Consider the following 12804-nt stretch of genomic DNA (forward strand, 5'->3'; position numbering starts at 1 on the left):
CTAGAATGGATTTTACTTCTTTGTGGCTCTTTGGATTGAGGGAGGGGCTAGGTGCCATCTCCAGAGAAGCTTGTTCAGCTCATGCTCACTCGGGGCCCTTGCTCTCTGCCCACTGGGGAGGGGCTGTGGTGGAGCTGGATTCGGACTGAGTGGAGGCAACGCTGAAGGTCAGAGGCCAACGTCCTTGCACTTCTTGACACTCTCCACCCAGGCGTGGTGATTGGGACCGCTGGGGAGGGTGATTTGGGAGCTTGAATCTGGTGTGGGGATGATGGGGGTCATTGATAGTGGGGACAGTTCTGGACATGTGGCCCTCATTCTCTGTGCTGGACAAGATGACTCTGTGACCTGTAATTCCAGGCTGATAGAGCATTTTCAGTGACAGCCCATTTGACTTGATGGTGCTAGTGCAGGACACAGGTGAGCTTGTCTCTGTGTCTTAGGTCTGTCCCAGCAGACGAGCTGACGTGTGTTGTAGATGAATGTCAGCTGGTCACAGGTGGGAGGTTTGGAAGGTAGCCTCCAATCTCCTCTGAGGACTGCAGCAGCGACCGGGGCAGCAGGAACGCATTGTGATGGCCTGGCCAAGTCTGCATAGCGAGAGTCGAGCCACTTTCACGCGCACCTTATCCCACACTTCACCTCCTTCCTCCAGGTTCCCACTCAGAAACCCGCTCACCCCTGGACACACCTCCCAGAGACTTCTCTTTGGAACTCTGCAATGGAGAAACCCATTGCAGACTTCCCCTTCTTTTGGATATCAGTTTGCTTTTCAGGAAGAAAATTTTAATACTCCATATTGAGGTTTTATAATTATATTAGCATGTTGAAACATTTTCTCTAATGGCTTGCTGGTTGAAAACGCTTTCACACAGAGCAGAAACTAGATGGAGATACTGTTTCACAACCTCTGCTTCAGAAGCAGAGGTGGCCTGTAGCTTCCAAACCCGGGCAGAGCACGTGCAGGGATGGTGCGTCTCTGTATCTGGACTCACATTCACATGTGTGCATGTGTAGGGGTGTGTGCATATTGAATTGTAAAAAAGATGAGTACGTGTGAGATTCTGCCTGAGACTCCAGTCCTCAGTGTGTGGCCTGGTGCCGCTGATGCCGAGATGTTGGGCTGGCAGCGATCTGCCTCCGTCTGTCACAGGTGCCTCTACCTGCTGCAGGCAGACGGACGGAGACGTGATGGATTGCGCATATCCCCTTTACAGATTCGGAAGAGTACATTTAAAATAACTTAAATTTGTATTTAGAAGACTTTTCATGGAGAGTATTTATTGTTATAGAGTTCACTTCTGAAATGGTGACAAAGCTTTTGATACTGAATCAAACAAGTGTGAAGTTACCGAATCTCTCTGTTACACAGAGTGGAGCCTTTCAGGCTGGCATGGAGAGCTTAAGGGGCAACTGAAGGAGACACACTGGCCAAGCGCGGAGTTCTGCTTACTTCAGTCCTGCTGAGATACTCTCTCAGTCCGCTCGCACCGAAGGAAGCTGCCTTGGGATCAGAGCAGACATAAAGCTAGAAAAATTTCAAGGTGAGTAAAAACCTGTAAAGATCTGATCAAATCTGACTGGTAGAAATGCCTTTTTCTTGATATAAACCGCTTAATTAAGCCTTTTGGCTTGCCTTTGAAAGATGCTTTATTGAATACTTCCCGGCACAGATGATCTGTTACTGTTGGTTGATTTCTAATCTTACTGCAGCCTTAGCTCACCCATGAGTCCCTCCTGCTTGTTCTGGGGTGGTGCCTGCTGCCCTCCAGTGGCATGTGTGGCACCTGCTGCCCTCCAGTGGCATGTGTGGCACTTGCTGCCCTCTTTGGGGTCAGTTCACCATTTATTGAGTCAGTGCTTCATGCCGGGCACTAGACTTGGTGAAAGCCTTTTACCATCAATTATTATTTTCTTAGGAGTAATTAAAAGAAAATTTTCCTGTAATCCCAGCACATTGGGAGGCTGAGGCAGGCAGATTACTTGAGGCCAGGAGTTTGAGACCAGCCTGGCCAACGTGACGAAACCCCATCTCTACCAAAAATACAAAAATTAGCCAGGTGTGATGGTGCACGCTTGTAGTCCCAGCCTCGGGAGACTGAGGCAGGAGAATCGCTTGAACCCGGGAGGCAGAGGCTGCAGTGAGCTGAGATCATGCCGTTGCATTCCAGCCTGGGTGACAGAGCAAGACTCTTTCTCAAAAAAAAAAAGAAGAACATTTCTTTAGTACTTATTTTTGGCGACTATCTCATGATTCAGCGTCTGCTTTTGAGAGAAGTTGTGACAAATACTAAAATCCCAGTAAAATTAGTATGGTGTCAGATTAATTTACTTATGAGCAGCTGAGTGACTAACTCAGGAAGTCCAGTTGTACATTTCCAGGGAAGCTTTTTCATGGGTTCAGATGAGATGAGGGGAAAGAGAAGGTGTCAGAGGGCTGCTGCTGGCTGGAGGAACGCAGGTGTGCTCCTGTGTCCATTTGCTCTGTGGATACTGACGAGCGCCCACTGGGCCTCAGATGCCCTCTGGGCATGGCAGGGACCAGGCGCTCGCTTGGCAGCTCTCATGTGAGCCGCTCACTGGACACAGCCGTGCTCCCGCCTGGGAGTTCGGGATGGCATGCAGAGCTGTGGGGAGGGAGCGGTCACCAGGGCGTGAGTGTGGACAGATGGGAGTGGCTGGTGCAGAGCCATAGGTAGGGGGCGGTCACCAGGGCGTGAGCGTGGATGGATGAGAGTGGCTGGGAGCCTAGGGGGGACGCCGTCTTTGGGGAGTAGAGACACACCCATGTCTGACTACTGGGTTTTGAGTTTGTGCCAGCAAAGGTCCTGCTTGCCATTTCTGTCTGTAAATGTCAGGAATTTCAGGTAACTGGTTCCCTAGCGAGACCTTTAAAGGAGGCTTTATCTTCAACCGATGCTTTTTTTGGGGGGGTACACAGGCAGTCCAAGTATGGGAAGGTCAAAATCAGGTCACCTTTATCATGGCTTGTGCTGTGGGATGGGATTTTATTTTCAGCCACAGCGCTTCTTCTAGCTTAATTAGTGATAGGAAATCAGCTTCTCTGTAACCAGAGGTTATTGAAAGAATGAGGATCCCAGAGTTGGAATGAGTCTGAAAGAGACGTTGTGGTTTAATATTGCTAAGTTAAGTGTCGATTTGTGACTACCTATTTTTAACATGCCACAGAAGTAAAACATTGCATTAATTATGCCATATATGTGAAATAGCAAGTATTTTTATATAATATAACTGTGCATTGGAGAAATGAATTATTTATAATCCTTTGCACCAATAAATTGTTCTTAAAAGCATAGAAAAAATAATCAGGCCAGAAGGAGATATCTAAAGCATGTGCTGAGAAAGCAAAACTGAAGAGCTGGAAATTATAAAATATTACGACATGATGAGTCATATCTCCTCCTCCTGATTCTGTGTTACTAAATGCTAGCTGCGAATAGAAATCGTGTATTTCCTTTCTTTCATAAAATAAGAGCTAATTTCGGCAGCAAACAGTTTGGCGTGTTATTCTTTTCCCTTTTCAGGGTGGTTTAAATAAAAATAAATAAACATGAAAGATTTTGGCTGGAACATCTTTGGAAGCACGGCCGTCCTCAGCCTCACTGCACTGTCTGGTTTCCCTCTGAGCCTCCCTCCCGGGTCCTGCCTTAGTGCTGTCTGTGCCGTGTAGCCACAGGTCGCACTGCAGGGCTGTGGGGAGTTATTTTTAGTTTCAGGCAGACTCACTGTTTTTGCCTTTCTTTTTGCTTGAAAAGACTGAAGTTATTTCTTGTGTTTTTATACATGAGATTATCTTCTGAGGCTGGAACATCTTGGGGGGATACAATAGATAGAATTCCTATAGTAATTCCCCTGCGCAAGAGGAATTGCTGAGGAGGGCTTCGGGAAACCTTGACTCTTGTTGAAGCCTGGAAAGCTTTCTCAGTCTTTCTCATTGCCACCCCACACCACATCTTCTTTTTGTAACAAATATTTATTAACTCATCTTTTTATTTTAAAATGAAGTTCACAGAAGATATTACCTTATATAATTATAGCCATATAATGTTAAAAAGCAGTGTCATGCTGAAATGTAATATAAAGAGAAACTGAAGATACATAATAAAATAGTTTTCTATGCCACTGTATGGACATTTAGGCACTGCTGCTTTCACTCGGATCACTGAGTGGTGTGGGCCTGTCAGTGCAGGCAGATGTGGGGTAGGTACTGAGCTGGTGACCTGAAAACCATAAGCAATAGAGCTGAGTGGCATTACTTTCTGAAATGGTCAAACCTGAAGGAAGCAGTGTTCAGTCTTCCCTGTCTCTAGGTAGTCTCTGTATTTCTGGAACATTGAGTGTATGTTAAAAGTATAGAAAAATGCATTGTGTCAATCCAAAACTCAGCTGGGCTGGGCTTAGAGAATTATGAGCAGCCTTTCCACCTGCATGGAAGTCCTTTTGTGCAGGACAGTTCCTTGTTTCCGGGGTGGCCCTGCTCCCTCCAGGAGGTTTAGGAGTGCCCATGTCACCATGATGCCTACGCCACTTCTCATGTTGCTACCTGTTGCTACCACCGGGCATCGCTGCCGCCTCCTGCTCTGTGCACAGTGTGGTGTGGCCGCCTGACCGACTGGTCAGGAACTAAAGTTCTCTCGAAGCCTTGACTGAAAGGAGAAGTGAGGAGGGGCATGGAGCCCAGTGCCAAGAGGCAGCTGCGTCTTTAGGGGCTGGCACTTTTCAGAGGGGCTCTTGGGGCCAGAAGGAAAGAGCCGTCATTCAAGGCTTACACAGCGTGGAGGTGCCCTCCCTGGGGTGTCCTGTGTGCTGACCTCTGTCCTGGTGCCTGGCGGTGTCCTGGCGCAGAGCTCCGCAAGCCTCTGCGGGGCTCTTCTCTGTGTGGAGGTTCTCGAGATGGGCAGTCCGGGTGGATGGTCAGGCCAATGAGGGCCTTCGAATGAAGCACATTATTGTAAGGATGCTAATTCTGGATCCTCAGATATTGTGACAAAAACTTGACATTTTTCTTCCTTCAAAGTAATTTATTGACTAAAATAACCAACTGAGCAAAGGTGATGTTTTAGTATCTAAATATTCCAAAAGATTACTGAAATTTTAAAGTAAAAATTTGGCCAAGAACGAGAAGTCTCTGAATGTGCTTTTCTGGCATGACCCCTGTCACCAGGAAGCTGTCAGTGTGGTGTTGGGCCTGATTGATTCGCATCAGCTCAGGTGGCGTCCTATTGGAAGGTCGGCAGTGGGAGAGCAGCTGGCCAGGTCAGAGGATTCATTTCTGTCTGAAGCTTTGTGAGGAACTAAGATGGCTTTTCCAGTAGCCTCTGTCATTCCAGAGAGTTTTAAGATTGCTTTTATTTGTTCTTCTACCCTGGAACTAGGAAGCCAGACCCAAGAAATGTATCCACACCAGGTTTTGCCCATAGTTTTTAAAAATGTTGAATTTCTTTAACTTGAGGCCCTCACAATTTTCTGGGCCCCCATAAGTTATAGAACAGGGACCAGGCCTGCTACCTTGTGGGGGCTGGGTGGGCACTGGCTCCCCAGGGCACAGATCCTTCCTGTGGGTGGGCTTAGGGGATGTGAGGGATTCACTTTCAGATGTGACACTCCAGATGTGGGGTTGGTGGCACATTTTTTTTGTCCGGTTACATCCAAGTAAAAAGGAGGACAAATTCTTACTGAACCTATGCAGTAAACTCCATTGTCAGGAAGAGTAAAGTGTCTTAGCATGAGTGTTCCTGAATTCTGAAAGTTCAGGAGAGTAAGATGTTACCTAGAGAGTGTTTTATTTCAGCTTTGAAAGCAGAGTCTACTGGATTTAGGGCTAGAGATAGACGAAGAAGAAAGAGAAGGGGCTTCTTTGAGCGCACATTAGAAAATACACCATAAAAGAAAATACCGACAATCTTCCAAAGCCACAGTCAGCGTTTCCCTGCCAGCTCCTCCAGTCTTCCTTCCTTCCTGTCTGCTGGGTGGCGGCTCATCTGTCAAGTTTTCACAGTCATGTGCTTCTGGGCGCAAAGCCCTGGTGAGCCTGGCTCGTTTCCCTGGTGGAATCGGACAGTTGTCGAAGGGGTGTCAGCCTCTGTTCAGAAGCCTGAGCCCCTGATTCTGTTCCTTGAAGTGTCAGGAGTTAAGGTGCCTGTATTGAGCAGGGGCTGCCGTTGCTTCTGACTGAGGGTCCTCTTCAGGCCCACTGGCTCTTGGCAGAGCTCAGTTCCTTGTGACCATAGGCCTGTGGCGCTTGGCTCCTGGAGACTGCCCATAGCCCCTGCCCTGTGGCCCTCTTCCCAGCATGGCAGTTTGCCTCTCAAGGCGTATAGGCAGGGTCTCCCCTCTTCCTTTCCTCTCTGACTTCTCTCATCCTTCAGGGGTTTACCTGATCAGGCCAGGCCCACCCAGGAAAATCTCCCTTTTGATGAACTCAGTCAGCTGATGAGATGCCTTAATTGCATCTGTAAAATCCCTTCACCTTTGCCTTATGTAACACTATATCCCATCATGTTCACAGTTCCTCCCGCCTGCAAGGCAGGGGAGTGTACAAGGTGTGTACCCCAGGGGCAGGATGCTAACACTGCACTGACTGAGAAAAGAATTTGTCTTACCTGTACCTGACAGGTGTGTACCTGAAAGAGGTGTGTGCCCGACGGTGTGTGCGACCGATGGGTGTATGCTCGACAGTGGTGTGTGCGCCCACCGGGTGTGTGCCCGACGGTGTGTGCGCCCGATGGGTGTGTGTGCCCGACAGTGGTGTGTGCGCCCGATGGGTGTGTGTGCCCGACAGTGGTGTGTGCGCCCGCCGGGTGTGCGCCCGACGGGGGTGTGTGCCCGACAGTGGTGTGTGCGCCCGACGGGGGTGTGTGCCCGACAGTGGTGTGTGCGCCCGACGGGGGTGTGTGCCCGACAGTGGTGTGTGCGCCCGACGGGGGTGTGTGCCCGACTGGTGTGTGCGCCCGACGGGTGTGTGTGCCCGACAGTGGTGTGTGCGCCCGATGGGTGTGTGTGCCCGACAGTGGTGTGTGCGCCCGCCGGGTGTGTGCCCGACAGTGGTGTGTGCCCGACAGTGGTGTGTGCGCCCGACGGGGGTGTGTGCCCGACAGTGGTGTGTGCGCCCGCTGGGTGTGTGCCCAACAGTGGTGTGTGCGCCCGATGGGTGTGTGTGCCCGACAGTGGTGTGTGCGCCCGCCGGGTGTGTGCCCGACAGTGGTGTGTGCCCGACAGTGGTGTGTGCACCCGACGGGGGTGTGTGCCCGACAGTGGTGTGTGCGCCCGCCGGGTGTGTGCCCGACAGTGGTGTGTGCGCCCGACGGGGGTGTGTGCCCGACAGTGGTGTGTGCGCCCGATGGGTGTGTGTGCCCGACAGTGGTGTGTGCGCCCGACGGGTGTGTGCGCCTGACAGGAGTGTGTCTGACATGGGTGTGTGAGCGCCCGGCAGGGGTACGTACACTCGGGGTGTGTGTGCCTGACGTGTGTGTGTGTCTGACATGGGTGTGTGCACCTGGCAGAGGTGTGTGCGCCCAGCAGAGGCATATGCCTGACAGAGGCGTGGCTTAGTGTTCAGGGTCCATAGTACATGAAGAATCCTACAGATCCCTATGGACAAGGCAGTACAGTAGAATTTGGGGCAAAAGACTTGCACAGATTTTTTTTTTTTTTTTTTACACAAGATGAAATTGAAATGGCCAATGAGCACACCCTCATTCATCCAGCGAGCATTGAGGACCCCCTAGAGGCCAGGCCCATGAGTGATGAAGATCCCGAGGATGAAGACGCCTTGCCAGCCAGGTCAGTGGGTGATGGCATTTGTGGTCAGGGGCACCCAGCACCACACCCCTGGCTGCCGTTGACAGCTGGGTGAGTCCCCTGCTGCCTGGGCAGAGCCACCTCTGCAGATGCCCAGGTGGGTCTCCTGGGGCAGGGACTGGCAGGCTGTAGCCTGTGAGCAGATTCTGGGACCTGAAAGCTAAGGATGGTTTTTACATTTTTAAGGAGTTATAAAACAAACAGAAAAGGAAGAATCTGCAACAGAGACCATAAGTGGTCTGCAAAGCCAAAGGTTTATAGAAATGGGCAGACCTGCTCTAAGGGGCCTGCTTGCTGATGGGGCCTTGTCTGGATTGCCAGTTCTACTAATTCTGGAATTGGAAGTTCTCATGGAGGACTGTGTGCTGGGTAGGATTTCCAGATCCCAAGATGCTTTGGCTGCATTCAAACCCACAGGGCAGAGAGAGCCCTCCGCCCTGTTCCTTGGCAGAGGCCTCCACACTCCGTGTGCTGACCGGCCTGCCAGAATGACAACAACTGTCAGCTGTCTGCATCCTCCTGGCACCCCTTAGTGTGGCTGCATACTGAGGGGAGTTAAAACCATAAACAGGTGGAGAATATCTCCTTCCAGGGAATCTCAGAGGACTCAGTGATTTAAGAGGAAAAGACCAAACTGCTGCTTTCAGCAGGACCACTGTGTGCTGCCTGCCTGTCAGTGCATACAGATACGGGGTCCTGAGTTGGTGACCTCAAAACCGTGAGCGGTAGATAGACAGAGTAGCCCCTAATGAAGCAGAAAGACTAGAAGAGACAGGACCTAATTTAGGTCGAAAAGCAAAGTGAGGCCTCAGAAGATGAAGGCAGAGTGCGAGAAAGGCTTTCTGGAACTGACAAGTCTGCCATCCACATTTCGAAATGTATTAGAAAAATTGGAAAAAAAACATATGAAGTGTAGAATGTCAGCAGAAAGGTGTGGCCACAGTCAAGAGGGCCCTCTGTGGGTCCTGTGGTCCTGGACTGCAGGTGGGCCCAGTGGAGACTGTGCTGCCCCTCACCCTCCCCGGTGGGTCCTCTGTGATGGGGGTGGGTGAAGCTGAGTGCTGTCCTGAAAATCTGACCATGCACAGCCCCTTTCCAAAGACCCTTCTAATTTTAGAGGCCGCCAGCAGCCACGGGACTAGGCAGCATCAGAGCAGGGACACAATGTGAGTCATATGCGCCTGTGTTCATCCTGTGGTGTCCCTGGGCCCATGGGGGTGGGAGGGATCAGAGGGATCGGAGGGAGGGGAGTAAAACCAGGGGAAGGAGTGGAGGACCACGAACTCCCTCCCCTTCTTGGTGGCCAGCTGCTGTGAGGACTCGCTCTCTTAGGACAGGTCCACTGTCTCTGAGCTCTGGTTCTGGCCTCCTGTCAGGTGCCCTCGTGCGGGAATGAGTGAGGGACAGCAGGGCAGGCTTTCCAGGCTTCCAGCAAGCTCTACATGATGGGTGGGGAGACCCTGCTCTTAAAAACATGTGGACCCTTAGCATTCTTCTTCCTCAGACCTGGGGCCTCAGCCTAAGCTGAGATGACAGGGAAGAACTACAGATACACCAGATTTAGGGAAAATAACGTCAAGTGGTGCAGACAAGTGGAACTGCTGCTTGTGAAGTGGGCTGTGGAGTCGTGATGTTTGCTACGCCCGGCACCATGTTTCAGAACCTGTAGCAGCGCTCAAGAGAGAATCATTCCTTTAACAACAAACATGTACTGAGCCCCTGTGGGGAGGCACTGACCGAGGCCTGGGGACAAATGTGGGGACAGACCAGTCCTGTGGGGACAGCTGGCGGGGGTAGAAAACAGTAGAGCTGCCCCACCAGCCAGCGGCTGCTGGGAGAGCAGGGGTGTCCCCGCACCCAGAGGAGGCACCCTGCCGCTCTCCCCCAGGTTGCTTGGTGTGTGCGCTGCAGGGAGAATCCCGCCCCCAGCTGGTGTCCACAGGGGCCAGGGACACTGGTAGGTAGGTGTGGAACAAGGGAGTTTGTGACTTGGGATTGTTTTCTACTTAAAAAATAATCTGAGTAAAGCTTGGTTTAAACAGCATCAAGTTAAAAAAATTCCTAAGAAGTGGTTGGATTCCCAGTTTATATGTGGCTTTAAGGTTCTGAAGAAGTACACAATTAACCACAGAAGTATGACTTGAATAGATAAGAATTTAACAAAATACACACTGTTGGGTGTAAAATCATAAATATCTGAAGTTCTTAGAAATTGGTAATTTTCTTTTAGCTTTGCTGTGCTCTGAGCATGACTAAACTAAAAGTAATGAATCCAGACCTTGAAGACTGGTGTGTGTGTAAAAGGCAAGAAGTGAGAAGATTCACGTGTAGATCCAGGACAATCTGAATTTACTTCTGTTCAGTAGTTCCCAAAGGCTTTTTCTACATGGAGGGACTCGGAGTGACACAGCAGCTCCCTCTTGTGGGCAGATTCCCCTGTGTAAGGTGCTGGAGGCTGAGGTTCCAGCCTGCAGCCGCTTGTGATCCTGATATGTCGAGAGTTCTGGAAGACTGATGACTGCTGACCCCCTTCTTAACCTACGCCATCGCCATGCTGGTGGTGGGGATGGGGCTCTTGGCCATTCCTGCCCCTTGGCTGCCCTTCCTTGGTCTGAGGGTACGTGGGTGGCCCTTCGGGTGTGCCAGGAGCTTTGTGCTTTAGTGACCAACAGTCCCCTGATGTGTGAAGGCCCATCAATCCGATTTAAAATAAAACATTTGAAGTCTCTTCAGAGGACGGTGTGAGGATGTCTGCGTTCAGTGATGGAGCTTGGCCTCTGCCTTGCCCCTGATTGAGGCTCTGAGGGTTCAGATACAGTCTCTGCCCACTGCATGTGAACAGCCTGGTGGGTGTGGAGGGGAGGAAGCCTGTGATGATGGTGGCACTGTGAGGAAAGTGGGGATGGAAGGAGGTGTGCCCAGGAGGCAGGGCAGGAGAGTTCATGGATGTAGGGTTGCAGCAAGTCTGGAAAGCTGGGTTTGTTTTCCAGGGAGATGGCATGGGAGGTGGGCACCCCAGGCAGGAGGGGCTCTGGATATGACTCCAGAAGCCTGGTGGGCTGGAGGGGAGGGAGAGGCTGGGCCTGCTGGGGGCAGGAAAAGGGCAGACCTGTGCTTAATTTCAATTTCTATGGGAGTGATGCCCTCAAACTTAGAAGGGCTTTTGATGAGAAGCGATAGAGTATAGCTCTTGCCCTCCTCAGTGGCATCACTGATTTTTTAAAATGCATTTTAGATATTTGTATTTCTATATTAATTAGTATTAGGATTGGCTATAAGTGACAGAGATGCAACATAATAGGAGCTTAACCAAGAGAAAGGGCTGCATCCTGCACTTGCTATTGTTTGATTTATGAACTTTAGACATTAACTGTGCACTGTTAGTTCACATGGAGGAGGATTTAGCTCCGTGACGTTTCTCCAACCTTCTTTTCCTGTATCATTTAGGATTGATTCTGGGTGAAGGTCACAGCATGACTCACAGTATCTTACACACCTTGGATGTATATACGCACTTCTTATGTCGTAAGTAATCCAGAGGGAGGAGTTTGCTAGAGCTAGTCCAGAGTTCAGCCATCTTAGGGCTCTGGGTGAGTATCGCTGCAGTACAGCAGCAGCAGCTTTAGACACCACTTCTGTGTTTAAGGCAGGAACAACTGAGAAGGAGCAGGCCGTGGAGCTCTTGTCTATTCCTTTTGTCAGAGACATTGTGGAAGCCCTCAGCATATTTTCACCTGTCTTTCACCAGAACTGTGTCTTTCTCCTTGGCAAGAAGTGTGTTTTGTGGCCAGCTTTAGTCACAAAAGAGACAGAAAATGAGCCTTTCATTTTTGTGGCACCCTTGGTAGAGGGGTAGGGGAAAGGGCTTCAGGACGAGCACTGGATCAGCTTACCAAGCCTGAAACCACGCCCCCTGCTGGTCATCCTAGAGACTGAGTGGCCCATGTGCTCGTGGCCTGTGGGCCCTGGGCGGCCTCTCAGTTTCCTGCATGGAAGGCAGCAGAAGCACTTATCTGGCCCTCAGCTCCTCGGTGGTGTCAGTTTGTCTGACCTCTGTCAGTTTGTTGTCTTCTTTTTTTTTTTTTTTTAAGACAGAGTCTCGCTCTGTTGCCTAGGCTGGAGTGCAGTGGCACAATCTTGGCTCACTGCAAGCTCCGCCTCTCGGGTTCAAGCGATTCACCTGCCACAGCCTCCTGAGTAGCTGAGACTACAGGCGCATGCCACCATGCCTGGCTAATTTTTGTAGTTTTTGTAGAGACGGGGTTTTGCTGTGTTGCCCAGGCTGGTCTTGAACTCCTGGGCTCAGGTGATCCACCCATCTCAGCCTCCCACTGTGCTGGGATTACAGGCGTGAGTCACTGCTCCCAGCCTTGTTTGTCTTCTGTGTTACCAAAGTAGAAAACTTCTTCTGTTCTGTAACCTTGGTTCAATCAAAGTTCCAAATTCATAAATGGCACTTATATTATTATGACGATTGCTGAAAGTCATGCCACAGTTTAATTTGCTTTATACTTGGATTTGGTATACTTGATTTTTTGGTTCTGTTTTCTCTTTTTCCTGATTTCCTTGATTTTTTTGGTTCCGTTTTCTCTTTCTCCTGGTTTCCTTGATTTTTTGGCTCCGTTTTCTCTTTTTCCCATATTCTTGCCTGGCATGGAGTGGTAGAGCAGAGTGGGGAATGGAGTTGAGTTTGGATCCAGCGGTCGAGCAAGTGTCTCAACTCCCATGCTCAGCTTCCTCCTCTGTCACGTGGGGCAGGGAAGGTGCCTGTCGGGCGCAGCGAGCGTGGTGAGTGGTAGTGTGGGGCCGCGTGCGCCCGTGGGCCCTGAGCATCAGCACTTCTGCCTCTCCGTGTTCTCTTGTTGAGAGGGACCACTGCCTTTCTTATGCTATCGCCAGCCTTTTCCAGCTTATTCATTCTGTTTCTTGGAACCCATTTAATTCATTCTTCTTGAAATATGTGTATTTTCTATTTTATTTCAA

General features: G+C 50.3%; 1 protein-coding gene across 17 annotated transcripts in view, besides 3 other annotated features; it reads left to right on the forward strand.

Annotated features, from left to right (window-relative positions):
• Nucleotides 1-12804, forward strand: part of ADARB1 (adenosine deaminase RNA specific B1) — a 151986-nt gene that overhangs the window by 52452 nt on the left and 86730 nt on the right. For 13 of the 17 annotated variants that reach the window (NR_073200.2, NR_027674.2, NR_144483.2 and 10 more), the window contains exon 2: nt 1373-1544. The exons of 1 other annotated variant lie outside the window; for it this stretch is intronic. Coding sequence is in view for 2 of the 16 variants with exons in the window: in XM_047440662.1 (XP_047296618.1) it covers nt 7767-7803 (37 nt within the window). In the remaining 14 variants the exon portion in view is untranslated. Of the gene's footprint in view, nt 1-1372; nt 1545-6547; nt 6637-7685; nt 7804-12804 lie in introns of those variants that run through there. 3 more of the 17 variants (NR_027673.1, XM_047440662.1, XM_047440663.1) reach the window with 3 other exon arrangements.
• Nucleotides 6484-6984: an enhancer, noted in NCBI's record as "H3K4me1 hESC enhancer chr21:46553428-46553928 (GRCh37/hg19 assembly coordinates)". NCBI's record gives its function as "activates a minimal SCP1, AML or CMV promoter by ChIP-STARR-seq in primed H9 embryonic stem cells {active_cell/tissue: H9 hESC(primed)}" and the evidence as "EXISTENCE:reporter gene assay evidence [ECO:0000049][PMID:30033119]".
• Nucleotides 6985-7485: an enhancer, noted in NCBI's record as "H3K4me1 hESC enhancer chr21:46553929-46554429 (GRCh37/hg19 assembly coordinates)". NCBI's record gives its function as "activates a minimal SCP1, AML or CMV promoter by ChIP-STARR-seq in primed H9 embryonic stem cells {active_cell/tissue: H9 hESC(primed)}" and the evidence as "EXISTENCE:reporter gene assay evidence [ECO:0000049][PMID:30033119]".
• Nucleotides 11645-11939: an enhancer, noted in NCBI's record as "tiled region #4412; HepG2 Activating non-DNase unmatched - State 4:PromP, and K562 Activating DNase matched - State 5:Enh". NCBI's record gives its function as "activates a minimal TATA promoter and a strong SV40 promoter by Sharpr-MPRA in HepG2 and K562 cells {active_cell/tissue: HepG2 | K562}" and the evidence as "EXISTENCE:reporter gene assay evidence [ECO:0000049][PMID:27701403]".

Source organism: Homo sapiens, chromosome 21, assembly GCF_000001405.40.
Source record: "Homo sapiens chromosome 21, GRCh38.p14 Primary Assembly".
NCBI classification, from domain to species: domain Eukaryota; kingdom Metazoa; phylum Chordata; class Mammalia; order Primates; family Hominidae; genus Homo; species Homo sapiens.